Source organism: Homo sapiens, chromosome 11, assembly GCF_000001405.40.
Source record: "Homo sapiens chromosome 11, GRCh38.p14 Primary Assembly".
NCBI classification, from domain to species: domain Eukaryota; kingdom Metazoa; phylum Chordata; class Mammalia; order Primates; family Hominidae; genus Homo; species Homo sapiens.
In genome coordinates this window covers 678,928-705,424 of record NC_000011.10, presented here as the reverse complement: position 1 = coordinate 705,424, position 26,497 = coordinate 678,928, and the positions used below count along the sequence as shown (strand labels likewise).

The 26,497-nt window shown below is 55.1% G+C and overlaps 2 protein-coding genes across 20 annotated transcripts in view, besides 14 other annotated features; one reads left to right on the top strand and one right to left on the bottom strand.

Annotated features, from left to right (window-relative positions):
• The window catches only part of DEAF1 (DEAF1 transcription factor), a 62,851-nt gene that overhangs the window by 1,659 nt on the left and 34,695 nt on the right, over positions 1-26,497 (top strand). For 7 of the 14 annotated variants that reach the window (XR_007062436.1, NM_001440884.1, NM_001440883.1 and 4 more), the window contains exons 1-8: positions 10,203-10,666; positions 13,827-13,924; positions 16,965-17,094; positions 17,368-17,514; positions 18,428-18,567; positions 20,462-20,527; positions 24,336-24,462; positions 25,609-25,737. Coding sequence is in view for 12 of the 14 variants with exons in the window: in NM_001440884.1 (NP_001427813.1) it covers positions 10,378-10,666; positions 13,827-13,924; positions 16,965-17,094; positions 17,368-17,514; positions 18,428-18,567; positions 20,462-20,527; positions 24,336-24,462; positions 25,609-25,737 (1,126 nt within the window). In the remaining 2 variants the exon portion in view is untranslated. Of the gene's footprint in view, positions 1-10,202; positions 11,937-13,826; positions 13,925-16,964; positions 17,095-17,367; positions 17,515-18,427; positions 18,568-20,461; positions 20,528-24,335; positions 24,463-25,608; positions 25,738-26,497 lie in introns of those variants that run through there. The other 7 variants (XR_007062437.1, NM_001367390.1, NM_001440887.1 and 4 more) reach the window with 6 other exon arrangements.
• Positions 354-1,281: an enhancer, noted in NCBI's record as "H3K27ac-H3K4me1 hESC enhancer chr11:704144-705071 (GRCh37/hg19 assembly coordinates)". NCBI's record gives its function as "activates a minimal SCP1, AML or CMV promoter by ChIP-STARR-seq in naive H9 embryonic stem cells {active_cell/tissue: H9 hESC(naive)}" and the evidence as "EXISTENCE:reporter gene assay evidence [ECO:0000049][PMID:30033119]".
• Positions 397-9,786, bottom strand: TMEM80 (transmembrane protein 80). Of its 6 annotated transcripts, none has more exons than NM_001276274.2 (6): positions 9,579-9,609; positions 6,537-6,556; positions 5,190-5,283; positions 4,718-4,810; positions 2,279-2,480; positions 397-983 (listed from the first exon to the last, which is right to left on the bottom strand). In NM_001276274.2, exons 1-6 carry the CDS (start codon positions 9,595-9,597, stop codon positions 779-781), a joined length of 633 nt encoding a protein of 210 aa, NP_001263203.2. In that variant the 5' UTR covers positions 9,598-9,609; the 3' UTR covers positions 397-778. The 6 variants fall into 6 exon arrangements, with proteins under 6 accessions (NP_001263203.2, NP_001371337.1, XP_006718269.4 ...); NM_001384408.1 differs by lacking the exon at positions 397-983 and adding an exon at positions 1,296-1,625 and having other exon boundaries at positions 9,603-9,786; XM_006718206.4 differs by lacking the exon at positions 397-983 and adding an exon at positions 1,296-1,625.
• Positions 8,065-8,604: an enhancer, noted in NCBI's record as "H3K4me1 hESC enhancer chr11:696821-697360 (GRCh37/hg19 assembly coordinates)". NCBI's record gives its function as "activates a minimal SCP1, AML or CMV promoter by ChIP-STARR-seq in naive H9 embryonic stem cells {active_cell/tissue: H9 hESC(naive)}" and the evidence as "EXISTENCE:reporter gene assay evidence [ECO:0000049][PMID:30033119]".
• Positions 9,145-9,684: an enhancer, noted in NCBI's record as "H3K27ac-H3K4me1 hESC enhancer chr11:695741-696280 (GRCh37/hg19 assembly coordinates)". NCBI's record gives its function as "activates a minimal SCP1, AML or CMV promoter by ChIP-STARR-seq in primed H9 embryonic stem cells {active_cell/tissue: H9 hESC(primed)}" and the evidence as "EXISTENCE:reporter gene assay evidence [ECO:0000049][PMID:30033119]".
• Positions 9,212-9,631: a silencer, noted in NCBI's record as "silent region_3014". NCBI's record gives its function as "represses an Ori minimal core promoter by ATAC-STARR-seq in GM12878 lymphoblastoid cells {active_cell/tissue: GM12878}" and the evidence as "EXISTENCE:reporter gene assay evidence [ECO:0000049][PMID:35858748]".
• Positions 9,685-10,226: an enhancer, noted in NCBI's record as "H3K27ac hESC enhancer chr11:695199-695740 (GRCh37/hg19 assembly coordinates)". NCBI's record gives its function as "activates a minimal SCP1, AML or CMV promoter by ChIP-STARR-seq in primed H9 embryonic stem cells {active_cell/tissue: H9 hESC(primed)}" and the evidence as "EXISTENCE:reporter gene assay evidence [ECO:0000049][PMID:30033119]".
• Positions 9,685-10,831: a biological region, named in NCBI's record as "hESC enhancers GRCh37_chr11:694659-695198 and GRCh37_chr11:695199-695740".
• Positions 10,132-10,431: a silencer, noted in NCBI's record as "silent region_3013". NCBI's record gives its function as "represses an Ori minimal core promoter by ATAC-STARR-seq in GM12878 lymphoblastoid cells {active_cell/tissue: GM12878}" and the evidence as "EXISTENCE:reporter gene assay evidence [ECO:0000049][PMID:35858748]".
• Positions 10,227-10,766: an enhancer, noted in NCBI's record as "H3K27ac-H3K4me1 hESC enhancer chr11:694659-695198 (GRCh37/hg19 assembly coordinates)". NCBI's record gives its function as "activates a minimal SCP1, AML or CMV promoter by ChIP-STARR-seq in naive H9 embryonic stem cells {active_cell/tissue: H9 hESC(naive)}" and the evidence as "EXISTENCE:reporter gene assay evidence [ECO:0000049][PMID:30033119]".
• Positions 10,442-10,561: a silencer, noted in NCBI's record as "silent region_3012". NCBI's record gives its function as "represses an Ori minimal core promoter by ATAC-STARR-seq in GM12878 lymphoblastoid cells {active_cell/tissue: GM12878}" and the evidence as "EXISTENCE:reporter gene assay evidence [ECO:0000049][PMID:35858748]".
• Positions 10,582-10,831: a silencer, noted in NCBI's record as "silent region_3011". NCBI's record gives its function as "represses an Ori minimal core promoter by ATAC-STARR-seq in GM12878 lymphoblastoid cells {active_cell/tissue: GM12878}" and the evidence as "EXISTENCE:reporter gene assay evidence [ECO:0000049][PMID:35858748]".
• Positions 15,937-16,860: an enhancer, noted in NCBI's record as "H3K4me1 hESC enhancer chr11:688565-689488 (GRCh37/hg19 assembly coordinates)". NCBI's record gives its function as "activates a minimal SCP1, AML or CMV promoter by ChIP-STARR-seq in primed H9 embryonic stem cells {active_cell/tissue: H9 hESC(primed)}" and the evidence as "EXISTENCE:reporter gene assay evidence [ECO:0000049][PMID:30033119]".
• Positions 17,838-18,338: an enhancer, noted in NCBI's record as "H3K4me1 hESC enhancer chr11:687087-687587 (GRCh37/hg19 assembly coordinates)". NCBI's record gives its function as "activates a minimal SCP1, AML or CMV promoter by ChIP-STARR-seq in naive and primed H9 embryonic stem cells {active_cell/tissue: H9 hESC(naive and primed)}" and the evidence as "EXISTENCE:reporter gene assay evidence [ECO:0000049][PMID:30033119]".
• Positions 18,339-18,839: an enhancer, noted in NCBI's record as "H3K4me1 hESC enhancer chr11:686586-687086 (GRCh37/hg19 assembly coordinates)". NCBI's record gives its function as "activates a minimal SCP1, AML or CMV promoter by ChIP-STARR-seq in naive H9 embryonic stem cells {active_cell/tissue: H9 hESC(naive)}" and the evidence as "EXISTENCE:reporter gene assay evidence [ECO:0000049][PMID:30033119]".
• Positions 25,819-26,319: an enhancer, noted in NCBI's record as "H3K4me1 hESC enhancer chr11:679106-679606 (GRCh37/hg19 assembly coordinates)". NCBI's record gives its function as "activates a minimal SCP1, AML or CMV promoter by ChIP-STARR-seq in primed H9 embryonic stem cells {active_cell/tissue: H9 hESC(primed)}" and the evidence as "EXISTENCE:reporter gene assay evidence [ECO:0000049][PMID:30033119]".

Here is a 26,497-nt window from a genome sequence, read left to right as displayed (position 1 = left end):
CCGTCCTCATCTGCCCGGCTTCCAGGATGGCCCTTCTCCCCAGCTGCTGTGACCGCTCAGAACAGGGCCAGGGTGCAGTGGACACAGCGGGTAGCACCGGCTGCCACAGCAGTCAACTGGACGAGGACGAGGTGAAGGGGCACAGGGCGCCCCAGGCCCATGCAGGGACCCAAGGCTCCGGCTGCCGGTCCTGGGTAGGGGTGGGAATGAGCGTGGCCAAGAGTCTGGGTCCCCGGGCTATGGTCCCAGAGGGGCAGGGCTAGCGTGTTTACCCTGGGCTGGCCGGAGCACTTCCTGGGGAGGCGCCATAGGTGAGCTCGGTGGAGGGCTGGCAGGAAGTGGCCCTCCTCCTTCGGGCCCAGTGCCTGCCCCTGAGCCCAGGCAAGACCTGGCTTCCTGGTTTACAGCCTTTGCCGTTTGATCTCCAGGAACCTGCCGTGATCCTGCTCCATGCATGAGCTTGCCCTGACCCAGAGCTCAGGGTCACACACGCCAACCCCTCGGTGCACCCGTGCCCTCACCCTTCCTGGAGGCAGAGCTGGGAGTGGCCAAGTGGGAAACAGGCGCTGGAGAGGACAGCTGGGGGGTGGGGTCCCTCTCCACTCCTAAACGGGTGCCTGTCAACACGATTTTGAGTGCGGAGCCTGCCCTCAGGAGACAGTCCAGGCTGGCCTCTCGGGCCCCATCCACTCCGGGTCACCTGGAGCCATGGCGTTCCCTGTGGAACAGGTGACCACTGCCTTTGTGTGCTCGCTGAGACTGGAGGTATCAGGATCCATTAACCATGAAGGCAACAGGTCTCCAGCTTCAGGGAGGGGGTCCTTCCCTGGTCTGCATGGTTTGTGGGCTGGGTCCTCCAGATGGCAGGTGTGCCCAGCTGGTCTTCTGCGAGTGCAGGCGCTGGTGAGGGAGGTGGCCCGAGGCGCTCAGGCGCTGGTGTGTGAAGTGGGTCCTCAGGGCTGTCCTGCAGCTCACCGTGGCCACTGGGGGCCACAGACAGGTCAAAGGAAGTCGGCCCAGGACAACTGGGTGCTCCCACCGCTTCCACGAAGACAGGCAGGAAAGACTGTCCAGGTGCCACAGCCACAGCCACCCCAGCCGAGGGAGCCCCAGTGGAGGCCCAGGACAGTCCCGCAGCCTCCTGCCCTCAGGAGTCCACCGAGCGGAAGGCGCCCGGCAGCCAGGGCCCGAGGGCGAGGCCAGCCAGGAACTGACCAGCTGGCAAGTGGGGTGTGCTCTCTTGCAGGGCAGGAGAACTGGAGATGGGGTGGGGGAGGTGGCCATAATTAGGAGAATTCAGGGAGGCATACACATCTCTTTATTTACAAAATGCGGTGAAGAGAAAATATCTAGATATTTGGGTGTAATTATTCCAAACATAGAAAACACACAATAGAATCAAGTGAAGGGAAAGCTACTGTAACAGCTTAGATACTTTTTAAGGAGAACTGATAGTAAATCTGGGAATGGGAAAAAAACACAGAGCTAGAATTTGTTTAGCACTCCGTGCAAAAGGCAAAAGCTGATAAAACTGGAGTGGACGGAGGCTCCGAATGTGGCCCTCCGCTGCTCTCTCTCCTGCAGTCTCATCCCCGGCCTTAGCCCTGACCTCTCCTCCGAAGCCCCTGAAGGGAGAAGTGTGGCTAAGATGGAAATTGCTAGGCAGCAGAGCTGTTGGCTTGTTTGCATTTATTGCTTTAGGAACCCAGAGTCCACTCTTGCACCGGGCCTGCCTGCCTGTGAGGCAGAGCTGGGGTTGCTCAGAGCACAAGGCCTACCCCATCCTGCGTCTCCAGCCCGACTTGGAAACACAGGTGGGGCCTGGCCACGGAGTAAACTGGGATCTCAGAACACAAATTAGGACCATTGGGGAACTAGGGGGTGATGGGGGATGCAGTGAGATGAGGCCTCTGTTCTGAAGGGCTCTGTCCTCCCTCTCGGCCCTGGGGGCCCATGGGGGTCTGTGGAGGCCTGGCTGCTAAAGCCAGACCCCACTGACAGGGCTGAGTGTGCGCTCCTGGGACTCATCTTGAAGGCAGTTCTGTCTGGTCCCTACCCTCCCCGCAGCTGTTCCCAACACCAGGGCCTCCAGCAGTTTGTTCTGCCCTGGCTCCTGCTCCCACTCCTGCCAGAACAGATGGAACCATCCAAAACCATCTATGGCCAGTCACTAGGAAAAGTGCCCTTCCTGTCCAGGAATGGGGAGGTGACAGCTGGGGGACTGGTCAGGCCCAGGAGGAGGGCCCCAGTGTGGGGTATCCCGGGTGTCCGTAGCTACCTGGTGAAGGCCGCGATGGCAACCACCTGCAGGACGGCCTCCAGGCCGTGAAGGGCCAGGAGCGTGGCGCTGAGGGCCCAGTCCGCCCACAACACTAGGGCCTGCCAAAGCAGGAAGTGGGCAGAGAGGAGGGCGGTGCCAGCCGTGAGGGCCAGGCTGGCGGCCAGCGGCCTCTCAGCCTCTGTCAGGTTGCCCCTGGTGCCTGGAGAACAGAGCAAAGGGGAGGGAAGGTGGTGCGAGGCGCTCCCTGGAGCCCACCGCCCACAGGTGCCTGGAGGGCTGCTGGGACCAGAGCAGCTCCTTGCCCTACGTTCCTCCGGGGCCTGGGGAATTCCAGGGAAACAGCCTCCATGGCCACCCAGAACTCAGGAGAGCCAGAGAGCATGGGCAACACAGGCGTGAGCCCCTCCTGGGGGAGGTGCCCCTGCAACAGCATGGTTTGATCTGTCTCTGGGTCTTCTGGGTCGGCTGTGTGGGCGGGGGTGAATTTGGTTTCTAAAATGATTCAAGTGCATCTGCCACGTTTTCCTAATTCCAAGTGGAACTGAAGGGATTTTTTTGAAAAATTCCCAAAGTATTTTTCTCTGGTCCAAGGCCAGTTCTGGAAAATTTCACGAGTATGTATTAAAAACAAAACTGCGTATTTAGCAAACAAATGGGTCAGTCACTAGCTGAGCCCAGGTGCCTGGAGACCCTGCAGTGTGCGGCGCGCTTGGGGAGGGTCCCGTTGGCCTAGCAGCCCCCAGCAGGGCCAGGCCACACCCTGTCCCCACCACCTCAGGGCAGGCCCAGGCCCCAGAAGATCAGCCAAGAACCGGGCCTCTGTGCCGCAGCGGTGCTCGCACCCTCCCAGCAGTGCCCGCCCTGGGGGGCAAGCTCTAGAGGTTCTGGGACGTAAGTGCAGACAAGACACTGACGGCCGGGCACCCCTCAGTGGGATGGGCAGCTGAGAGAACTCGCCTCCATCCTCCTAGTGTGTCTGAGGCCTGATAACAAGAGGAAGGGTGGGGGCCACCCTTCCCCGCAGCCTTGGTTCCTCACTGGACATCAGGCATCAGGGGTGTATCTGTATGTGAACAAGAGGGGCCCAAGATTCCAGCCTGGCAGGGGCACAGCGCCCTGGAAGTGCCCATTGCGTTCCCCACGGCAGGACAATGTTTCACAAACACGTGTGTTTAGGTGCACATGTTACGACCATGAGCACGCAGAGGGCTGGAAGTCTGCACCCCGCTGGCCACAGAGGTGAGCTCTGGGGAGGGCGAATTTCCATGTTTTACTTCTGCACCCCTTGAATCTTGTACAAGAACATACCCTTGAACAAATTGTGTGGTTAAAAAAAGGGGAGTGAGGCCAGGCACTTTGGGAGGCCAAGGTGGGCAGATTGCTTGAGCCCAAGAGTTCAAGACCAACCAGGGTAACATAGCGAAACCCTGTCTCCGGCCGGGCGCGGTGGCTCACGCCTGTAATCCCAGCACTTTGGGAGGCCGAGGTGGGCGGATCAGGAGGTCAGGAGATGGAAACCATCCTGGCTAACATGGTGAAACCCCATCTCTACTAAAAATACAAAAATGAGCCGGGCGTGGTGGCGGGCACCTGTAGTCCCAGTTACTCGGGAGGCTGAGACAGGAGACTGGCGTGAACCCGGGAGGCGGAGCTTGCAGTGAGCCAAGTTCACGCCACTGCACTCCAGCCTGGGCGACAGAGCGAGACTCTGTCTCAAAAAAAAAAAAAAAAAAAAAAGAAACCTTGTCTCGTCTCTACCAAAAAAAAACAAAACAAAACAAAACAAAATTAGCTGGGCGTGGTGGCAGGTGCCTGTAATCCCAGCTACTTGGGAGGAGGGGAGGGCTGAGGCAGGAGGATCGCTCAAGCCCAGGAGGTCAAGGCTGCAGTGAGCTGTGACTGCACCACTGCACTCCAGCCTGGGCAACAGAGTGAGACCTCGTCTCAAAAAAAGTAGGTCACTGGAAGGGGTTGCAGACTTGGGGATCCCTAGAGCTGGAGTGGGGAGGCTGGGGGCTCCCACCCCTCCAGACTCTGCTGCCTTTTGGGACCTGGCAGAACTCTCCAGGGCTCTCTCCTCAGACAGCTAAGGGCAAGGGGAAGGAAAGGGGTGCTGGTGAATATTCCGGAGCTCCAGATGTGGTGGTGGGCTGGGCTTTTCTGATCTCAGTGCCATTACCCAGTGGCTTCTACAAGACATGCTTCCAAACACAGAGTCTCTCCCAACGATGCCCCCAGTGTTATTTGTCTCTGGGACAAAACTTCTTGATTAATACTTAATGACACTGTAAGGTGAGCCTGCAAAGCAACTGGGTAAGCAGTTTGGATAAAAAATGTCTCTGAGAACCACACTATAAAATAATTACTCTTGAAAGGCTGTGGAAACAGATAGCAACTCTTAGGACAGGTTCTTCACGGTGTTAACAGTCCACTCACCCAGGTATAACCGAACTGCTTCTAGAATCCCCATCAGAAACAGCAGAGCAAGATCGAGGACCAGGTAGCGGTGAGGATAGCTGAACACCTGACCTGAAGAGCAGAGGCGCGGACGGAACATAAGTAACCTGGCACAGCAGCAGCAGCCACCTCAGCTTGCCTTTTCCTTTTTTTTTTTTTTGAGACAGGGTCTTGCTCTGTCACCCAGGATGGAGTTCAGTGGCGCAATCTTGGCTCACTGGAACCTCCACCTCCCGGGTTCAAGCAATCCTCCCACCTCAGTCTCCCGAGTAGCTGGGACTACAGGCGCCCACCACCACGCCCGGCTACTTTTTGTGTTTTTAGTAGAGATGGGGTTTCCCCATGTTGGCCTGGCTGGTCTCAAACTCCTGACCTCAAGTGATCCGCCCACCTCAGCCTCCCAAAATGTTGGGATTACAGGCGTGAGCCACTGTGCCCGTCCCTGACTTACTTTTATACGTGATCATCAGGAGCGTGGCGAGGAAATACAGGGCGTAGTACGTTCCGCTGAGATAAAACAGCATTTGAAGGGGAACTGAAGAGAGCTGGTGAGTGGTTAAGGATCCTCAAGCTCAACAGGCTTGGGAGCAGCCTCCCAGGTGGCTGAACAAGAGGGGCTGGTTCTGTCATCTGTTTGGTGGCCACAGACACCAAGGGACCATGGAGTCTTGGCAATGGCTCACTGCCTATCTGAGGCTTCTGTCACTATGCTGGCTGCCAATGTGGTCCCATGAGCTGACAAGGCCTTTGTGGGACCCCCCTCCATGCCACAACAATGCGGTCTGTGCACTGCAGCCCCTGCCCTCCTGACTGTGGACAGGACTGGTCAGGGGACAGCCTCCACACACTGGCATCCCCAGTGATGTCACCCTGCCTTTGGCCCCAGTTATGAGTTAAGAGAGAAAAAATAACTTTGTCATTTTCTTTTTTTTTTTGAGATAGAGTCTTGCTCTGTTGCCCAGACTGGACACTGTGCAGTGGCACAATCTTGGCTCACTGCAACCTCCGCCTCCTGGGTTCAAGTGATTCTTCTGCCTCAGCCTCCTGAGTAGCTGGGATTACAGGCGTGCAAAACCATGCCCAGCTAATTTTTTGTATTTTTAGTAGGGACAGGGTTTCACCATGTTGGCCAGGCTGGTCTGAAACTCCTGGTGTCAAGTGATCTGTCCACCTCAGCCTCCCAGAGTGTTGGGATTACAGGCATGAGCCACTGCGCCCGGCCACTTTTTTCAGTTTCTTCAGAGGAAATATATTTCTGTTTGGGGGACTTAAGTATCTAGTAGCCATTTCCTGAGCTGTGTACATTTCCTATTTGTTTATGCTAACATGAGTCTATGGGGCCAGGCACAGTGGCTCCCGCCTGATGCCAGAGCTTCAGGAGGCTGAGGCTGCAGTGAGCTGTGATTGCCACACTCCAGCCTGGGTGAGAGGAAGGCTCTGTCCTTAAAAAAACATAAACAAACAAAAATAAAATAAAATGAATCTAGGGACAAAGTGAGGGATTTCCATCTTCCTGCCACTAGCGGCCGAGACAGAGGCAGGTGGCCATCGCCTTGGGAGCCGGCAGTGTGGCGTGCTTAGCCACTTTGTGCAGGGCTGAGCAGGTAGGGGATGGAGCCAGCAGAACTGATCCGAGGAAGTTACATCAACTCTCTAAATCTGTCAAGGAACACCCCCCTCTCCAAAGTGGAATTACTAGACAGAACTTAGGGAAAACGTGGGGTGAGGCCGAGTGCTCTCTGTGCAGCAGCAATTCGGGCCTCTGGGTGCTGTCCTGGAGGGGCACGCAGCAGGATACCACTGTGGAGGATCCTCTCCCTGAAAGAGAAAGGGGCCGTGAGCAAGGCCTGACAGCCACCAGGATGCTTTCCCGGGTCTCGCTCCACACTGACAGGAACCACCCCTGCTTTATTTTCCTTTGATCTCGTATTTGTAGAAAGCAGCAAACATATACCGTGGGCCTGCCACTAGATAGCTCCCGTGCCTCTCTAACCATCCTTCAATGAGGCTAGGAGTCTCTGCCTTTCAGAACCTGAGGCTGGAGACAGCGAGTACCGGGGGCACCGGGGTGGGAAGTGAACCTGGGCCAGACCCAGCTGGCCCTCAGGGAAAGCAGCACCCTGGAGCCCACCCCAACAGCTGCTCTCATTGTCTGTGGCTCACCGTCTGTGGCTTCTCCGTATTTGCCACACATATATGACTAGATGAAAACCTTTTCTGACTTAGGTTGTAACAAATCTTTTTTCATGATTGATGAGACATTTGCTTTCCTCTGAAATTTTATCCCCAAATATCCCTCCAAAAATAAGGATTTTCCAAACCAGCAATGCAGCTGTCCAGTCTTTTTATCATGCAACCTCTTGGGCCTTCTCCCACCCCCACCTGAGAGATGACAGGAAGCCCGAGGAGTGAGTGGAGTCTCTTTCCTCCTTTTTGATTCTGAGGTTTTGCATCTGAAGACGCCTCTGACTCACCCTGGATCCACGCTGACCTGGAGCGGACTAATTGTCTGAAAAGGGCTCAGGCCAGTTGCACGTGTGATATGTGCACGTCCCTCCATGTGTAGATACCTCAATACACATCTAGAATTGGGTGGAAACCTCTCATAAAAGGAGGCTCAAGCTGCACCGCTGGGCGGCAGGCAGGACAGCAACCTGAACACAGCCTCTGTTCTATTTCCCCTTCAGCGCCAGGGAGGGCAGGACAGAAACCTGGCGTTGGTGAGATTTTGTGGCTGATCCCACAGCTTCTTGGGCAGATCTGGGGCCTTCTGTGCCAGAGTTTGTGGAATCTCACACAGGCAAGAGTTTTAAGCCAGTAAATACAGGACATCGGCATCAGAGACTCAGAACTGGGCTCCTGGAAGAGGCACCACAGGATGGAAGCAGGAAGCCAAGTGCACGGCAGACCACGCCGCATCGCGTTCCCGGCAGGCCACTCTTTAAACCCGATCTGTTCTTTTCCAGGCCTTAGCTAAACCAGGCCACCTAAATACCTGTCATTATCTGTGATGATTTCGCATTAATTGGGGTTTTTGTCCCTTCTGTTCCTTTTCTTAAAGGCTGGCTTCTTAAACACTTCCAATGTGTCTGCTAGTTGCTCACTGTTATAGATTGAAGTTATGGGGCTTGGGGGAAAAACTGTATAAAAGCCTTAAGTGATGTAACATTTTAATAATTAATATGAAGGGCGGCTATAACCAGATACGCTGTTCTAACAATTCCAGACCTGCAGGAGCTCATTCTGACCGAACGTAGCCTTGGCTTTCAGGACAACATTTTTTGTCAGTGACTTACTATAATCACAATGTGGCTACGAATAGCTGTGTCAGGCAGAAGTTAAACATGGAAGTGAAAGAGAACAAGTGTTTTCCCTGATGTAATGGACAAGATGTGTTAAGAAATCTTGTTTTGGTATACACTTAGTTTTTTTAGAGACAGGGTTTTGCTCTGTTGCCCAGGCTGGAGTGCAGTGGCCTGATCACAGCTCACTGCAGTCTCAACCTCCTGGGCTCCAGTGATCCGCCAGCCTCAGCCTCCCACGTAGCTGGGACCACAGGCTCCCTGAGGTAATTTTTTTTTTTTTTGAGACAGAATTTCGCTCTTGTTGCCCAGGCTGCAGTGCAATGGTGCGATCTTGGCCAACTGCAACCTCCGCACCCCACCCCCCCCACCACCACCACCGGGTTCGAGCAATTCTCCTGCCTCAGACTCTCAAGTAGCTGGGATTACAGGCATGCACCATCACGCCAGGCTAATTTTGTATTTTTAGTAGAGACGGGGTTTCTCCATGTTGGTCAGGCTGGTCTTGAACCCTCGACCTCAGGTGATCCGCCCGCTTTGGCCTCCCAAAGTGCTGGGATTACAGGCGTGAGCTACTGCGCCTGGCCTTCCCCGGGGTAATTTTTAATTTTTTTTTTGTAGAAGGGGGTCTCGCTCTGTCGCCCAGGCTGGAGTGCAGTGGCGCCATCACGGCTCACTGCAACCTCGACCTCCTGGGCTCAAGTGATCCGCCAGCCTCAGCCTCCAGAATAGCTTGGCCCACAGGGGTGCGCCACCGCCTGGCTGATGTTTACAGTTTTTTTTTTATAGAGGGGGTCTTGCTATGTTGCCCAGGCTGGCCTCAAATGATCCTGCAGCCTCGGCTTCCCAAACTGTCAGGCTTACAGGCCTGAGCCACTGCGCCCAACCTAAACTTAATTTTTAACCAAATGAAAATACACAAAACAAACCTGGTTACTAGAGGCTGTCCTGCCTATGGAGTAGCCATTCTTTATTCCTTCAAAACAATGCACCTAATTACTAGAGAACACGCACGAAGGTTTGGCACTTCAGCGCCCGCGTATGGGAGTTCTGGCTGTACCCACAGACAGCAGAAGGCGGCTCCTCTGCAGGATGGCCGATTTACTGCTTTGGTCTGTCCCTTCCTCCTCTCGGAGGCGAGTCTCTCAGGCAGGACGGCTGAGGCACCGGCGCCCGCGATTTTCTTTGGCGAGAGTTCCAAGGCTACCGAAACCCTGCGCCCATCCCGCCCACGTGTCTTCACAAAAACCACGCGCGGGACAAGAGCTGCCGGGGACTGGGGCCCCCAGAGCCGCTCCGCACCCACCCTGCCCGGGGCCAGGCGCCCGCGCGCGGGGGAGCTCTTCGGGGTGCAGGACGCCCGCCACCCAGGCCAGGCCAGGCCGCGCTTCTCGATGGGGTGACGGAGCTGTCTCGCTCACGTAGAGACGGTGGCACGGCCCCGTGAGCGCACCGAAAGCGGAAACCGGATTGTCACCACAGGGAAACGCCGCGCCCGCCGCTGCAAGCCCGGAAGCCCCCACCCCGCCCGAGCTCACCTCGCCGCGGGGCCGCCATCTTACCCGCCCCGCCCGCCGGTCCGTCGCGATCCCGGCAGCCTCTCGGCCCGCGCGCTCGCGCTCCTTCGGCCATTTTCGCGTCTCCTGACGAAGGGGCCCGACCGCGCCGCGTTTCGGGAGCGGACGTCCGAGCCACGGCCGAGGCCCGATTAGTCCGTCCGGCACCGCTCGGGCACTTTCGGAAGGGAAGAGGTGGAGAACCGACGTTCGGGAGCATTCGGCCTCGGGGACATTCGGCTCGTCTCGGCTCGGCCTCGGGCTGACTCGGCTTCCGCCGGCGGCGGGAACGGGCGAAACCCGCGGCACTAAGCTCTCTCTGAGAGGCAGAATTGCGCCGGCCGCCGGCGAGAATCTGCCTAGAGCCGTCCAGCCCTGTCGGCCGGGGACGACAGCCGCCTCAGCCTGTCAGGACAGTGAGGAGAGCAGGGGCCGAGTCTCTCGGAAGCCCTCGTGAGGACTCGGACCTATTCGGACTGATTCGGCTTCCCACTTCGGGGAACTTCGACCCTCCTCGGTTCAGGACTCGGTCTCGGCTCGGCGGCTTCGTGCAGGTTCGGCTCCTACTCGGGCAGCCTCTGTTCGCCTCGGCTCCGCTCCGCGGGCGGACTCGGCTCGGCTCTGCTCGGCGGCTGGCTGCCTTTTCGGTCCCTATTCGGGCGGCGGCTTCGGGCGGCCTCGGCCCAGCTCGGGCGTCCTCTTCGGGCCCCGCTTCGGGCTCCGCGACCGGCGCTTCGGGCGGTCCCGGACGGCGCCTTCGGGAAGGCTCGGCGGAGTCCGGATGGAGGACTCGGACTCGGCGGCAAAGCAGCTGGGCCTGGCTGAGGCGGCGGCGGTGGCGGCCGCGGCCGCTGTGGCGGCGGCGGCCGCGGCCGCGGCAGGAGGCGAGGCGGAGGAGCCGGTGCTGAGCAGGGACGAGGACTCGGAGGAGGACGCAGACTCGGAGGCGGAGCGGGAGACGCCGCGGGTCACGGCAGTGGCGGTGATGGCGGCGGAGCCCGGGCACATGGACATGGGCGCCGAGGCCCTGCCCGGCCCCGACGAGGCCGCCGCTGCCGCAGCCTTCGCAGGCAAGTGCGCCCGCCGGCCTCTCGCCTCGTCCGGTTCCCGCGCGCCTACCCCGCGCGCCTGCCCCGCACAACTGTCCCAGGTGACCAGCCCGCCACACCTGTCCCTCACACCTGCTCCACGTGACCAGCCCGCTCCACCCGCCCTGCACACCTGCCCCTCACACCTGCTCCACGTGACCCGCCCGCCCCACCCGCCCTGCACACCTGCCCCACGTGACTAGCTCACCCCTCACATCTGCCTCTCACACCTGCCCCACCCGCCCCTCACACTTTCCCCACGTACCTGCTCCAGGTGACCAGCCTGCCCCACCTGCCACAAATACCTGCCTCGCACACCTGCTCGACGTTTCCAGCCTTCCCCACCTGCCCCACGTGATCGGCCTGCCCTACCTGCCCCGCACACCTGCCCCACATACCTGCCCCAGGTGACCAGCCTGCCCCACCTACCCCAAACACCTGCCCCGCACACCTGCCCCTGGTGACCTGCCTAGCCTCACCTGACCTGGCCCTGCCCTGCACACACCTGCCCCCTGCCCCCCTTTTCTTTGTGGCAGCCCCGCCTCCTACTGGTCCCCCCTGTGCAGCTCTGCCCCTGCCCTGCCTTCGTCCATCCTGGCTCCCCCCACCTGTCCTGGAGAAGCCCTGGGGTGGGTGGGCACCTGTGGTCACCAGGAACCCCCCACTTCCTGAGGGCCAGTTCAGGCATGACCTGAGCGCTGGGGAGCCAGGGGTGGGCAGCCTGCTGGAGGCCATGATGCCAGAGGTCAGCGTGGCTGTGTGGTGGCCCAGGGGGGCTGCGGAGCCACCTGTGCAGGCTCCCCTCCCAGTCCTCCCTCTTCCTCTTGCCTTTTTCCCTAAGGACCTGCTCCTCCTGCCCCGCTTCCTGTCGGGCTTCCTTTGGGGAGGCTGCTGTGGCTTTCCAGTCCACATTTTTATATAAGCTGCTTATAGTTTCTTGCCACACAGGTCAGTCTCCTTCTCAGGCTCCAAAACACTGGGAGCCCGTGGCAGAGCTCACAGATGCCCTACGGGGCTGGTGCCGTCCACCCACCTCCTGTGTCCCGCCCTTGTGTCCGTGGGGCATAGACTTCCCCACCCACTGGCTTCCTAACGCACTGTATTCTTCCCCATTGGAGTTCCCGAGTGTCCCCCAGGGACTCACAGCTCAGTGTTGAGACCCTTGGGAGGAGCTTCTTGTTGCGTTGTGAGGCACTTTTCCCCTACGGAGCTTTGCGGGTTGAGGAACTGGATCCCAGTCCTGGTGTGCTGGGTATGTCAGGGCATTGCGTGTGCTCTGGGTGCTTGTTCGGCCTGGGGGCTGGGTGGGGGCCAGCAGCGTCTGGGCTGCCCTTGGTCAGCTGAGTGGCCCTCGAAGGCAAAGGGGTCACTGCTGCTTGTTTGGTTGGTTAAGAAAAAAAAGTGAGGGAAGGCTTTGTGACTCTCAGGGGTTGGCGTCCGTCGCTAAACTCTGGTTTGACGTTGGGATTTGGAGCCATGAGGTTGATTTCAGGTTTTTGTCATTTTTGCACGTATTTTTCTGAATGCATAAAAGAAAAATGATGCTGTTCATCATGATGTCAGAGAAATGTGCTGACGTGTGTTTTCTTCTGAAAAATATGGTAGTTGTGTTTTGATGTGGTAAAAGCACTTTAATACTTTTTAAAAATTACGAACAGCTGACGTCAAGTGGTTTCCAGGTTTAAGTAACTCAGCAGGACACGCTGCCGCCTGAGGAGGCTTTGGGCGGCTGCTCCCAGGGCTGCCATGGGCCTGGCGTTGAGCACTCACTGTGGCCGCGCGCCGCATGCCGGGGCTTGTGGTGCTGAGAGGCGAGGATGAGGGAACCGTGCACCTGGTGTGGTCTGGTCGTGGAGACAGACAGCAAACATGCCTTTTTTTTTTTTTGAGACGGAGTTTCGCTCTTGTTGCCCAGGCTGGAGTGCAATGGTGTGATCTCAGCTCACCGCAACCTCCCGCCTCCCGGGTTCAAGTGATTCTCCTGCCTCAGCCTCCCGAGTAGCTGGGATTACAGGCATGTGCCACCACGCCCGGCTAATTTTGTATTTTTAGTAGAGATGGGGTTTCTCTATGTTGGTCAGGCTGGTCTCGAACTCCTGACCTCAGGTGATCCGCCCGCCTTGGCATCCCACAGTGCTGGGATTACAGGCGTGAGCCACCGCGCCCGGCTGCAAACAGGCATTTTTAGGGCAGTTTGGTGAGTGCTGGGTTAATGGTATGGTCAGGACTCATTCAACCAGTATCTTTTAAGCATCTGCTGTGTGCCAGAGATTGCCCTGGACACAGGACATTCTAGAACTCTGGGTGACAGAAGAGCCACTTGCTTGGCCTAGGAGCATCACAGGAAGACTTTGCAGAGGCAGAGAGGAGGGTGTGGGGGTGTTGGCGGCAGAAAGTGTTTCTCTAGAAACACTCCAGCATGTAGAGGCTGGAGCTGCAGGACCTATCTGGGATGACAGGGGCAGGAGGTGGGGTGCAGCTGACCTCTGTGGTAACTGCCCTGTGTGCAGATGCTGCTGAAGGGCCTGTCTGCATGCCAGGGGGCTGAGTTCCATGTTGTAGGGGGTGCGGTGGGGTGGCACCAAGGGACATAGGCAGGTTAGATGTACTTTTTAGGAGGAAGGGGTCAGAGACCAAGGGCAATGGCTGTGAGCATGGGGCCGAGGTCACCTGACGATGGTGGCCTGACCCCTGCGGTGGAGGAGAGGCAGGAATGGAGCTACAAGAGTGGGTCCAGGAGGTGTCCTCACCTGCGGGGAGGCCGAGAGCTCCTCGTAGGCATAGGGCACACCTGACCAGCAGAACCCACAGCTGTGCCGCAGAAGGAGATAGAAGCCCCGTGGTGGTTTGATAGAGCTGGGGCTGGCTGGGGTGGCGGGTTTGTTGTATGCATTTTTTACTGCACGTAAAAGGCTTTACTGGGGAAGAATAGATTTCCTCTCTTTTTCCTGGAAGAGCCGAATGACTTAGACAATGGAATAGAAATGTAGGTCGAGCGTGTTCATGGAAGTGTTAAGATCTTCCTGGTTACAAGGGCACACACCTGAGGGGGAGTCACTTTGTTTGAAGCACCTGAGCGAGGCTGTTCGCTTTGTCCATTCTGGCTTTTGTTGCTTGTTAAATGAGGCTCCTTCTGTTGCAGAGGTGACCACAGTGACAGTGGCCAACGTGGGGGCTGCTGCAGACAATGTCTTCACCACGTCTGTGGCGAACGCGGCATCCATCTCAGGACATGTTCTGGTAAGCTGCTCCGAGGGGCACAGCCCAGGGCGGGTGGTGCCACGCTGGGGGCCTCCGGCTTCCCCGAGGCTCTCCCGGGGTTCAGCCCGCTGTGTGAACGTCTGCTCTGTGAGCTGGGGAGGGACGCACTGGCTCGCTCTGCTCTCAGAGGCCTTCGGGCTGTGCTGGAGGTGGGAGAAATTACAGCTGAGGTAGAAGCTGCCTCGGAAGGCCAGGTGAAGAGCCACACCTGTCAGATGGGCTTGTGGCCTGCGTTGGGCAGGGACTCCCAGCAGGCTGCTGTCCGGCCACAGTTCAGCCTCTGCCCGAGGCCCGGCCCTGCCTGTGCTCCTTATCCTATAGCTGCAGGGCCAGCTGAAAGAAGCAAGGCGTTTCCCTCCCCCATATCCTGTTCTCGTAGCATTTATGGTGCAGTCTCCCACGCCTGACTGCTGTCTACTTAGAAAACTGCTGAAAGCCAGTTGCATTTCAAATAGTGTCTGTGCCACCTTCAGAGCCCTTTTGTGATCATGTTTTATCAGCTTATTTTATGTTTTATGTGTGGGGCCTTCGGCGATCTGGGGACATCTGGTCAACCAGGGCAGGCAACCTTGTTTCCAAGTGGCAGATGCCAGGGTGGGTCCAGTCTCCAGAAAGGGATTTTCCCTGGGACCATTGGCACCTGTTACTTGTAGTCTTTTCAGCCTTGGTCACATACCTGGGACATCATCTCCATATACCTGAAAGCAGAGTGGTTATTTGTTTGTTTTGTTTTTGAGACGGGGTCTTGCTCTGTCACCTAGACTGGAGTGCAGTGGTGCAATCTCGGCTCATTGCAACCTCCGCCTCCTGGGTTCAAGCCATTCTTGTGCCTCAGCCTCCTGAGTAGCTGGGATTACAGGCGTGTGCCACCATGCCAGGCTAATTTTTGTATTTTTAGTAGAGACAGGTCACCATGTTGTCCAGGCTGGCCTCAAACTCCTGACCTCAGGTGCCCGCCTTGACCTCCCAAAGTGCTGGGATTATAAGGATTATAGGTGTGAGCCACCACACCCGGCCTGAAAGCACAGTTATTGTTAGAATGGCAGCAAACAGAAAACTTGTGAAGGACTTCAGTAAAAACATAAGAAACTTGGAAACCCCCTCCCCTGCCCTCCCCTCCCCTGCCCTCCCCTCCCCTGCCCTCCCCTCCCCTGCCCTCCCCTGCCCTCTCCTCCCCTCCCCTCCCCTGCCCTCCCCTGCCCTCCCCTGCCCTGCCCTCCCCTCCCCTCCTCTCCCCTCCCCTCCCCTTCCTTTTTGACAGAGTCTTTCTCTGTTGCCCAAACTGGAGTGCAGTGGAGTGATCTCAACTCACTGCAACCTCCACCTCCTGGGTTCCCCATGTTGTCCAGGTAGTCTCAAACTCCTGACCTCAGGTAGCTACCATCTCGGCCTCCCAATGTGCTGGGATTACAGGCATGAGCCACCGCACCCAGCCCAGAAACTTGGCTTATTTCTGGTGGGTGTGAGAACACACACAAGCTGACCCATGGCCACGTGGCGATCTGTGTTTTCAGTCAGGCTGCTCCTTCCTGGCAGTGGGGTCTGGGCACCTCCTCATTTCCTAGGAGGGGCTGAAGCCCAAGGCACCTGTGGGTGCCTGGAACGTGCTGACGTCATGGAGCGGGGGTGTCCTGCAAGTGCCTGAGGCTGGTTTTCTCCCCTCCAGGCCAGGAAGACCAGAGACTGGTGTGTTCCTGTTTGGAAACTGACAACAAAGCGGGGCACGGTCTGAAATAACTGTGTGTTCCCTTCCTAAGAAAAATACTCTGTGACTCTTAAACAAACACAAGACATTCCTTTTCTCCAGTGAAGAGCTGCAGGTCTTTGGTGACTCAGGCACAGCAGTAGGACCCCCTGTGTGAGCCCAGGCGTCAGGCATGTGTGTTGGGGGTCCCTCCACTCCATGATAAACTTCTACTCAAGTGCTCTGATTTGACAGTGACATTTTCAGATGTAGGAAACAGTTGTCAGCTGGGCGCGGTGGCTCCTGCCTGTAATCCCAGCACTCTGGGAGGCCGAGATGGGCAGATCATGAGGTCAGAAGATGGAGACCATCCTGGCTAACACGGTGAAACCCCATCTCTACTAAAAAAAAAAATGCAAAAAATTAGCCTGGTGTGGTGGTGGGCGTGTGTAGTCCCAGCTACTTAGGAGGCTGAGGCAGGACAATAGCGTGAACCCGGGAGGCGGAGCTTGCAGTGAGCCGAGATGGCGCCACTGCACTCCAGCCTGGGTGACAGAACGAGTCTCCGTCTCAAAAAAAAAAAAAAAAAAAAAGAAAAAGAAAAAAAGAAACAGTTGTTTTCTCACTTTGCCTCGGTTGGTTTTGTATTCAGAATGAAAACCTTGGGGCACCCAAAACACGGGGTTCAGAGAGGCCCCTGGAAGTCTCTGGTCTGCCCCACCGTGGGGTGAACAGAGCCTGCAGGCCAGAGTTTGCCGGATGACTTGGCCAAGGTAGGGTTCAAGTTCCAGCAGTGGTGTGTGGGCATGGAGACTCTGGCTTCCTGTGGCGGGGTCTGTGCCGCCTGAAGGCTGATTTTGGAAGCAGGCAGCAGTTGCAGCAGCTTCAGCCAGTGTGGAAATGTGGTTTTGAGGCCCTGGTCTCCAGTTGCCATCTGTAAGGAGGTCTGGAGGGCGGTCCTGCACAAGGCCTTGTCTGTGGCGGCCAACTCGGTCTGTTGGAAACTCTGCATGAAGACGGTGACCTTGTGGGAGCGGCTCAGGTGGAAGGGAGGGTGTTTCTTGTTTGTGGAGCACCTTTCTTCCTTCCCTTTGACAAATGATGGCAAGCATTTTCCTCAGCACCACACAGACTTCGGCATTGTCTGTTCTTGTTCTTGGCTCTGTTTTCAAGTCTTTGAGAGGTATCTTTGGAAAAGATATGGGGTGCCTAGGTGAGCGTCCCTTCTTGGTGAGAACAGCCAGAGAGCCCTGCTGGAGGACGGCCCAGCTGGGCTCAGTGACACGCCTGGTGTCACTCTCGGACGTGACCTGACGGAGCGGTTTTTCCTTCTAGTCTGGTAGGACGGCCCTTCAGATCGGGGACAGCCTGAACACCGAAAAAGCGACACTGATTGTCGTCCACACAGATGGGAGCATCGTGGAGACCACCGGGCTGAAAGGCCCGGCAGCTCCCCTCACCCCAGGTACAGCGGTGCCTGCACCCCAGGCCTCGGGCAAAACACGTTTCAGAATAGCTAGAATTTATTTCAGGGATTTATTTACTTGTTTCTTTTTGTGGTAAATTTGGAATATCATCTATTAATAGATTTTAAGTAAAAGCATTGGAATTTTCCTGACCAAGAAGTTTTTCCGCCGTTGAAGGAGGTGGCGCTGCCGGGGAGGTGGTGTCTGAGATGAGAGTGTACTATGCTTCCCGGTGTCCGGCCTCTCACCTTCAAACACTTTCTCTGCCCAAGGTCCTCAGTCTCCTCCAACCCCTCTGGCTCCCGGCCAAGAAAAAGGTGGAACTAAATACAACTGGGACCCTTCTGTGTACGACAGTGAGCTGCCCGTACGGTGCCGGAACATCAGCGGCACTCTGTACAAGAACAGGCTCGGCTCAGGTGAGGACTGCCACTTCAGACTCCAAAGTTGTATTCCCCTTTGTAACCCCCCTAGCATAAATTGGGGGCTGAGAAAGATGAAAATCATGGCACCTAGAACTAGTTAAGAAGACAGGGCTGGGCGCGGTGGCTGATGCCTGTAATACCAGCACTTTGGGAAGCCGAGGCGGGTGGATCAGAGGTCAGGAGATCGAGACTATCCTGGCTAACACGATGAAAACCCGTCTCTACTAAAAATACAAAAAATTAGTGGAGCGTGGTGGCAGGCGCCTGTAGTCCCATAGTCCCAGCTACTCGGGAGGCTGAGGCAGGAGAATGGCGTGAACCCAGGAGGCAGAGCTTGCAGTGAGCTGAGATCACGCCACTGCACTCCATCCTGGGCGACAGAGCGAGACTCCGTCTCAACAACAACGACAACAAAAAAACAAGACAAAAGGTGCAGGTGACACCCAGTTCCTGTGAACTGAGCTGAGGCCTGGGAGAGGCACGGGACAGGGCTGCGCCCAGGAACCATCTGGGGGTGAAAAGCCATCGTGACCCACGGGACAGGAGACAAGCGAGAAGAAGCAGGAGGGAGGCAGGGCTGGGACGTGTTCCTCAAGTTGCCAGGTTAGCTTGGGACTTGTAGATGAAGGCTCTGGAAGTGGGTACCAGAGGTGCTCAGTGTGGGACCTGGTTGAGCTTGCACTGCCTGTGGACAGCGGGTGGAGAGATCACGTAGGGGGTCAGAGGCACAGGCTGCAAAGGCAGACCCGTGGTGGACCTGTCAGGGCCAAGTATGTGGGTGGGTGAGATCACATGAGCCGCTGGGGCGCTGGTGCTGGTGGAGGGGTTGAGGAGGCGCCAGGAGGTAGGCAATGGCAGAGGTGACGTTCCCACCTGCCATCATCATGACTGCTGCCCTTCCTTGCAGGCGGCCGGGGACGGTGCATCAAGCAGGGGGAGAACTGGTACAGTCCCACCGAGTTTGAGGCCATGGCAGGAAGAGCCAGCAGTAAGGACTGGAAAAGAAGCATTCGCTACGCGGGCCGACCCTTGCAGTGCCTCATCCAGGTATCGTCCGTGACCTCACCTGTGCTCAGCACACAGTTCAGACGTGGGGCCCTCTGAGGCGGCCCAGCCAGAGGGAGGGCACAGACCACGGGGTCAGACAAATGGGGTTTGCAGCCTCCACCTGCTGTCTGTGTGGCCTTGGGCGAGTGATTTACCCTCTCATGTTTCAGTTTCCGGGTCTTTCACGTGGGGATGACGATGATCGTGACCCTGTGAGGATTGTTGGGAGAAGTGCATGAGGTCACAGCGCCTGGCACAGAATAGCTGCAGAAAGGGGGCGTGTCAAATACACAAAAAATGAAAACAGTAGAAGTTAAGATAATCGCTTCTGTTTGAATGCGTGTGACCCTTTCAAAGTCACCTAACTTCTCGTCAGTCTACTAAGAAAAGAGGACTTCTAATTCCTATTCCAGTTTAGCTCCTTGGGTGTTGTTAAGGAAGCAATTCCTGTAGAGACTTTTGCAAATCTTGAAAGGAAAGAGGTAGGTCCTGCCACCAATAATGGCATTGTGAAAAGGAGAAGGCTCTGGAAATTACTGTTTTTGTGGTTTTTTTTTTTTTTTTTTGAGACAGAGTCTCACCCTGTTGCCCAGGCTGGAGTGCAGTGGCTTGATCTTGGCTCACAGCAACCTCCACCTCCCAGGCTCAGAGGATTGTCCCACCTCAGCCTCCTGAGTAGCTGGGATTACAGGTGCCCGCCACCACACCTGGCTTTTTTTTTTTTTTTTTTAATTTTCAGTAGAGATGGGGTTTCACCATGTTGGCCAGGCTGGTCTTGAAGTCCTGACCTCAGGTGATCTGCCTGCCTCGGCCTCCCAAAGTGCTGGGATTACAGGTGTGAGCCACAATACCCGGCCTATTTTTTTTGTATTTTTTAATAGGGACAGGGTTTCACCACGCTGGCCAGGCTAGTCTCGAACTCCCGACCTCAAGTGAGCCACCTGCCTCGCCTCTCAAAGTGCTGGGATTACAGGCGTGAGCCACAATACCCGGCCTAATTTTTGTATTTTAATGGAGACCAACCATGTTGGTCAGGTTGGTCTTGAACTTCTGACCTTAAGTGAGCCACCCGCCTCGGCCTCCCAAAGTGCTGGGATTACATGTGTGAGCCACCACACCTGGCCTGGGCATTACCTGATTTCTCACAATTTTTTTTTTTTTTGAGGCAAAGGCCTCCCTCTGTTGCCCAGGCTGGAGTGCAGTGGTGTGATCTCAGCTCACTGTAACCTCTGCCTCCCGGGTTCAAGCGATCCTCCTGCCTGAGCCTCCCAGGTAGCTGGGACTATGGGCATGCGCCACCATGCCCAGCTAATTTTTGTATTTTTAGCAGACACGAGGTTTCACCATGTTGGCCAGGCTGGTCTCCAGCTCCTGAGCTCAGGTGGTCTGCCTGCGTCGGCCTCTCAAAGTCCTGGGATTACAGGCATGAGCCACCATGCCCGGCCCTGATTTTGCAGAATTTTTATCTTTATGAGGTTGGGCACGGTGGCTTACGCTTGTAATCCCAGCACTTCGGGAGGCCGAGGCGGGCAGATTGCTTGAGGCCAGGAGTTCGAGACCAGCCTGGTCAACATGGCAAAACCTGTCTCTACTAAAAATACAAAAATTAGCTGGGTGTGGTGGTGCAAACCTATAATCCCAGCTTCTTGGGAGGCCGAGGCATGAGAATTGCTTGCGCCGGGGAGGCAGAGGTTGCACTGAGCCGAGAACGTGCCACTGCACTCCAGCCTGGGCAACCCAACAAGACTCTGTCTCAAAAAAAAAAAAAAAAAAAAGAATTTTTATATTTATGAATGGTAGGTAAGTGGTAAAAGTGGTTGAAATCTTCTATTATTGAATGATTGACATTTAGGGGCTGACTTGCTAATGCATGGTGGTTCTTTTCACATCTCAGGATGGGATCTTAAACCCTCACGCTGCCTCTTGCACCTGTGCTGCCTGCTGCGACGACATGACCTTAGTAAGTGGCCAGCGTGTCTGGAACAGGATGACTTGGTGGGGCTGGGGGCGGCTGAGTGGGTCCCACAGCCCTTGGCCTCTCGGCTGTTTCCCTCCTGCCCTCTGCCTTGGAGAGAGACACTGTCCTCACTTCTCCTGGGTTGCTCTGTTCCCTCCTCCCTGATACGTCACAGTGAATCCTGATGTCTCGATGGGGAACACGTGGTTGGCCCCCAAGATGTTGCTCAAAGAACATTTGTGGAAACCTTAAATAATGAAAAGCGGTTATAATGTCACCGCCTTAACTCTAAAACTAAACATACACGCTTTTCCTTGTATGCATGCCATTTTATATTCCTCATTTTGTAACATGTCAGAAAAATGCTACTGTAAACTTATTCATGTGTAGAGCTTTTAACGCCTTTTTGACGTATTTCCTTATTCTAAATTCTTAACTGCTTCACAAAGACCCAAAATAATTTTTCTTTCTTTTTTTTTTTCTGAGACGAAGTCTCATTCTGTCGCCCACACTGGGGTGCAGTGGCGCGGTCTCGGCTCACTGCAACCTCCGCCTCCTGGATTCAAGCACTTCTCCTGCCTCAGCTTCCCGCGTAGCTGGGATTACAGGCATGTGCCACAATGCCCAGCTAATTTTTGTATTTTTAGTAGAGATGGGGTTTTGCCATGTTGGTCAGGCTGGTCTCAAACTCCTGACCACATGTGATCCGCCCGCCTCAGCCTCCCAAAGTGTTGAGATTACAGGCGTGAGCCACTGCACCTCAAAAAAAAAAAAAAAGAGCATGGAGAGACCTACCGTGTTCTTGGGGTGAAACACTAAACATCCTAGAATTGTGTAGTTGATATATAGATTTCATGTGATTCTAGTGGAAAAAACAATTTTGTGAACGTAAAATAATTTTGAAGTTGATTGGGAAAAGCCAGTCGGTGAGACTCTTAGAGACGCTGCAGGAGTAAAGGAGCCGGGAGGAGACGTCGGTCCCATTGGCAGTTGAGCCTGCAGGTAGATCATTTGCAGGGGCTCCAACACTGAAGTACTTAGATGTCAGTCTAGGAAATCATGTACAGGGTTTGTACGTGGAAGATACTAAAGAAAATGCTGAAGAGAGAGACCAGGGAAGATTGAAATACGTCAAAAGACGTCCTGCGCCCGTGGATTAGAAGACTCAGTAAAGATGCGACTTTTTCCCAAGTTGATTCGTAGGTTTAACACAATGACTATCAAAATCCCAGCAGGATTCTTTTTAGATGCAGACAAGCTGATTCTAAAATTTGCATAGAAAGGTAAAGGAAATAAAAAAGCCAAAACAGTTTTGAAACAAAAAAGCCAAAACAGTTTTGAAATAAAAGTTTAAAATGGGTGGAATCACATTGCGGGGTCTTAAGACTTACGGGCTCGTGACAGTAATCAAGATAGTGTGGCACTGGCAGAGGGAGAGACCCCACGATCTGGGTCAGACTAGAGTGTCATAGTAGACTCCAGCAAATGGCCTTGGAGTGACAGGACGTTCATCAGCAGAGACAAAGGATGACCTAAACTTCACACTTGGTACAAAAATGAATTCAAAATGGGTCATCGATCTAAAGTGAAAGGTGAAACTATAACATTTTTAGGAGAAAACACATTGGAAAATCTTCCTGACCTGGAGTTAGAACTAGGATTTCTTGGATTGGACTTCATCAAATTTTAGAACTTTTGGCTTCCGCTTGGGGAGTGGTGGTGTGATGAGCTCAGTGGACCAACTCTCCAGAGAAATAACTAGTGAAAATTGTGAAAAAATAACCCCTTAAGGTCTCCAGAAATTGTCCTAGGGGAGTACAGCAAATAAACATCCAAGAAAATGTAGTAAGTCTTGGAAAGGGCAGTGAGGATTGTGACGTTTGAGCTACGACCAGCTCCTTCCCTCCCTTTCTGCCCCCAGCTCCCTATGGTGGAGGCTCCATTGTGGGTGGTTGTGACCAAGAAAACGGTTCCCACTCCTTGCAGTTCCCGGTCAAGGGATATGGTATCTCACTGGGAGGGGCAGGCCACCAGCATTTCTCAACCCCTTCAGCTCTAAGTTGCAGTAAATTCCTGGGAAGTGTGACTGAAAATCTCTTCAGTCATCCCCACTCAGAGGGCAGAGGCTTTACCCAGGCATGGGAGGCCAAGCATACGGAGCCCCAATTTCCATCAACCCACATTGCCCATAGGGTGGGGTGTCCATGCAGTGAGAGGCTGCTGCCCCCCACACAGAACCCGGCTAATGCAACAGAATTCCCTCTGATAGACTCAGGCACTGTTCCTGCCTCTAGGTCTATAGTAGGGGCTCAGACATTCAGCCCAAAAGAGAGAGAGGCCGTAAGAACAGAGAGCTCCAAAGCCCCTCCCAAAGGAACTGACTTGATTTGAAACAGTATGGGGATGTTCAAGCCTAAAAGTGCCCTGGAAAAGAATGGACATTTTGATGGTAAGCAGTTAAGAGGAGGCCAGCAGTTCCATTAGAGCAAGAAACTAAACTGTAGGTCAGCAGGTTTACCAGAGAGGCGAGGAAAGCCACAGCGAAGAACCCATCTGGGAAACCGACCTTCAAGATCGAACCTCTCAGTAAAGAAGCCCTAATTTAATTGGCTCAGACAGTGGAGCAGTGTGTGCCCCAGGGCATTGTTGAAAGTAATGGAGCAGGCAGCTGGCAGTTAGTTGATTCTGACACTTGACTACACCAACAGCTTAACAGAGATCAGGAAGAGCGACAGCCAAAACTCCCACCACCAAAGGTGATTGCACCCCACCCAGGGCCGAGCCCTCAGAGGAGCAGCAGCCGAGGCCGCCCCAGGAGAACAGGCTCAGTAAGATAGTCCAGCTCCGTACCTGAGTAATAAACAAGCTGACAGCAGCAAGGATCCCAGAGAAAGGAGAACTGCTTTCCACTGTTGCTACAATGTATCACCTGCGGTGTCTGATTCTTAACAAAAGATGATAAGACATGCAAGGAGCCTTGGACCATACACAGGAAGAAAGCAGGCAACAGAAATTGCCTGGAGAGGTCCGGATGTTGGGGTTAACAGGAAAAAGCTTTAAAATGGCTATCCTCAGTATGTTCAGAGGACTGAAGGAAACCACAGCTAGAGATTGCATGGAAGGTCTGAAGACACTGTCTCCTCACTGGAGAATGTCAATGAAGAGATATAAATTATTTAAAAAAAAAAGTCGGCCGGGCGTGGTGGCTCACGCCTGTAATCCTAGCACTTTGGGAGGCCGAGGTGGGCAGATCACGAGGTCAGGAGAACGAGACCATCCTGGCTACCATGGTGAAACCCCGTCTCTACTAAAAATACAAAACACTAGCCAGGCTTGGTGGCGGGCGCCTGTAGTCCCAGCTACTCGGGAGGTTGAGGCAGGAGAATGGCATGAACCCGGGAGGCAGAGCTTGCAGTGAGCCCAGATTGTGCCACTGCACTCCAGCCTGGGCAACAGAGCGAGACTCTGTCTCAAAAAAAAAAAAAAAAAGAAAGAAAGAAAATTAGCCGGGTGTGGTGACACATGCCTGTAATCCCAGCTACTCAGGAGACTAACGCAGAATCACTTGAACCTGGGAGGCGGAGGTTGCAGTAAGCCAAGATGGCGCCACTGCACTCCAGCGTGGGCAGCTAGAGTGAAACTCCGTCTCAAAAAAGAAAAAGAGGTGGGATCTTTAGGGGCGCTTACCATCTTAATGTGGTCTCACCATGTGACTCACACACCCCGCGGTGCCCCCACTTAAGGAGGAGTTGCAAGCGCAGCATAGCTTTTGCACACATGAAGGTGGTGGCCTCTCTCCTTTCTCCCCCAGAGTGGCCCAGTCAGGCTTTTTGTGCCTTACAAAAGGCGCAAGAAGGAGAATGAACTGCCCACAACTCCCGTGAAGAAGGACTCCCCCAAGAACATCACATTGCTTCCAGCCACCGCGGCTACCACCTGTGAGTTTGAGAAAACACAGCTCTAGTTTACTGAGGGGACCTGAGTGCATTGCCTTCTCTCGTCACCACTCCCACGGCCACTGCGGGATTCTCACTTCTAAAGCACATTGCGTGGCCAGAGGGATTCCAACGCCATCACACTCCTTTGCAGTGCGTCCCCCGGGTGGGAAGGGGTGTCCCAGTGCCCAGCTCGGTCTTGCTTCCCTGGGACCCGGACACTGTTGGCCTTGTCCTGGGCTGTTTCCTAGTATGAGTGAGCATGGCTGAGTGCCCAGCACACGCTCAGGGGACGTTTCCTGACAAGGGCGTCCTTGGTGAGGGATTCTCAGTGCGCTGGACGAGGGCTGCGGAGAGCTCTGTGGGTCTTTCTCTGTGGCCGGGCTGGAGGGCGGCGTCAGGATCCCGGCTCGCTGCAGCCTCGGCCTCCCAGGCTCAGGCACTGCTCTCACCTCAGCCTCCCAAGTAGCTGGGACCACAGGCACGTGCCACCATGCCCAGCTAATGTTTTTATTTTTTTGTACAGACAGGATTTAAATGGGGAGAGGTAGCAATAGGAGAAAATGTCTTTGTAATAGGCTTTTGTTAACTAAGTCTGGGTTTTTGCATTTATAGAGTAAGGTCTTTCTAAAACACCCTGTCAGCTCCTTCCTGAGGCCCTGGGTGGTGGGTGCAGGAAGAGTCCCACAGCAGCAGAGTCTCAAGATCTGTCGCCAGGATTTTTTTTTGAGCTGGAGAGGCAGCCTTGCTGTGGGACACAGGGCAGCCTTGCTGTGGGACACGGCTGCTTTTTACCTTCAGCTTGGATTAAAGATTTTTTCTTAATTCGAACCACGAAGTACTTAAAAATCACTGAAAGTTTTATTTTATGTTTGTTTTCTGGCTGGGCAGCACATTTCCATGGTTCACAGTTTAAACAGCGAACAATTGGTAGTGGCAAGTTGCCATCCTGGCCATCCTGGTTTTCTCCTGTGAGGTCTTCTCCAAGGTCTGGGATTTCCCCCGTGTCCTTCACATGGGAGGGTACAGTTACCACTGCCCGCCCTTCAGCCCAGGCCCCCACAAGGATTGGCGCCCGTGGGTGGCACGGGACCTGTGTGCCGTGGGCGCCACTGCCTGGCCGCGTGAAATGTGCTTCTGCCTTTCCAGTCACCGTGACCCCCTCGGGACAGATCACGACCTCGGGGGCACTGACCTTTGACCGAGCGTCCACGGTAGAGGCCACTGCTGTCATATCAGAGAGTCCGGCCCAGGGCGACGTCTTCGCAGGGGCCACAGGTGAGCTGCTCCAGTGCCTGCCTGACGCGTCCTCAGCATATCCCTGTCTGTGACATCACATCCCCGACGCCACATTGGGCTGCATAGGCTGCTGGGTGCCTCGAGAGGGGCCTTGAACCAGGCGTTTGTTGGTGGGGACAGCGTGTGAGCCACGTCAGGTGGGCGGTGCAGTGTGGATGGGGTTGGCGTGTGGCAGTGGGTTACTTGTGACAGATGCCAGAACTGGCAAAGCTGAAAATACTCTCTGTCTGCCGGCTCCTGCTTTTGACTGCAGTTGTGCAACAGAAATGCAGCCTAGCTGGTTGTGTGCTGGAGAATATTCTAGAAGCCACACTGAGGAAAATAGAGTTAGAACTGATTTTTTTTTTTTTTTGAGGTGGAGTCTCGCTCCATCCCCCAGGCTGGAGGGCAGTGGCATGATCTCGGCTCATTGCAAGCTCCGCCTCCCGGGTTCACACCGTTCTCCTGCCTCAGCCTCCCAAGTAGCTGGGACTACAGCGCCTGCCACCATGCCCGGCTAATTTTTTTTTGGTATTTTTAGTAGAGACAGCGTTTCACCATGTTAGCCAGGATGGTCTCTATCTCCTGACCTCGTGATGCGCCCATCTTGGCCTCCCAAAGTGCTGGGATTACAGGCGTGAGCCACCGCGCCCGGCCTGATTTTTATAATCTATTTTATTTCACCTGATATAGCCCCAATCCTATTATGTCAACGATTCAGGATCACCACATTTCAGGGGCTCAGTAGCCACGTGTGGCC

Excerpts from the sequence above, each read along its gene's own strand:
- TMEM80 (NM_001384408.1), bottom strand. The coding sequence starts at position 9,672 with ATGGCCGAAGGAGCGCGAGCGCGCGGGCCGAGAGGCTGCCGGGATCGC. Across the intron at positions 6,557-9,602 it reads CGGACCGGCGGGCGGGGCGG|GGAGAGGATCCTCCACAGTG; the intron begins GTAAGATGGCGG and ends TTTCTCTTTCAG. Across the intron at positions 1,626-2,278 it reads GCCATCGCGGCCTTCACCAG|GGGCTTCGGAGGAGAGGTCA; the intron begins GTAGCTACGGAC and ends TTCTCCCTTCAG.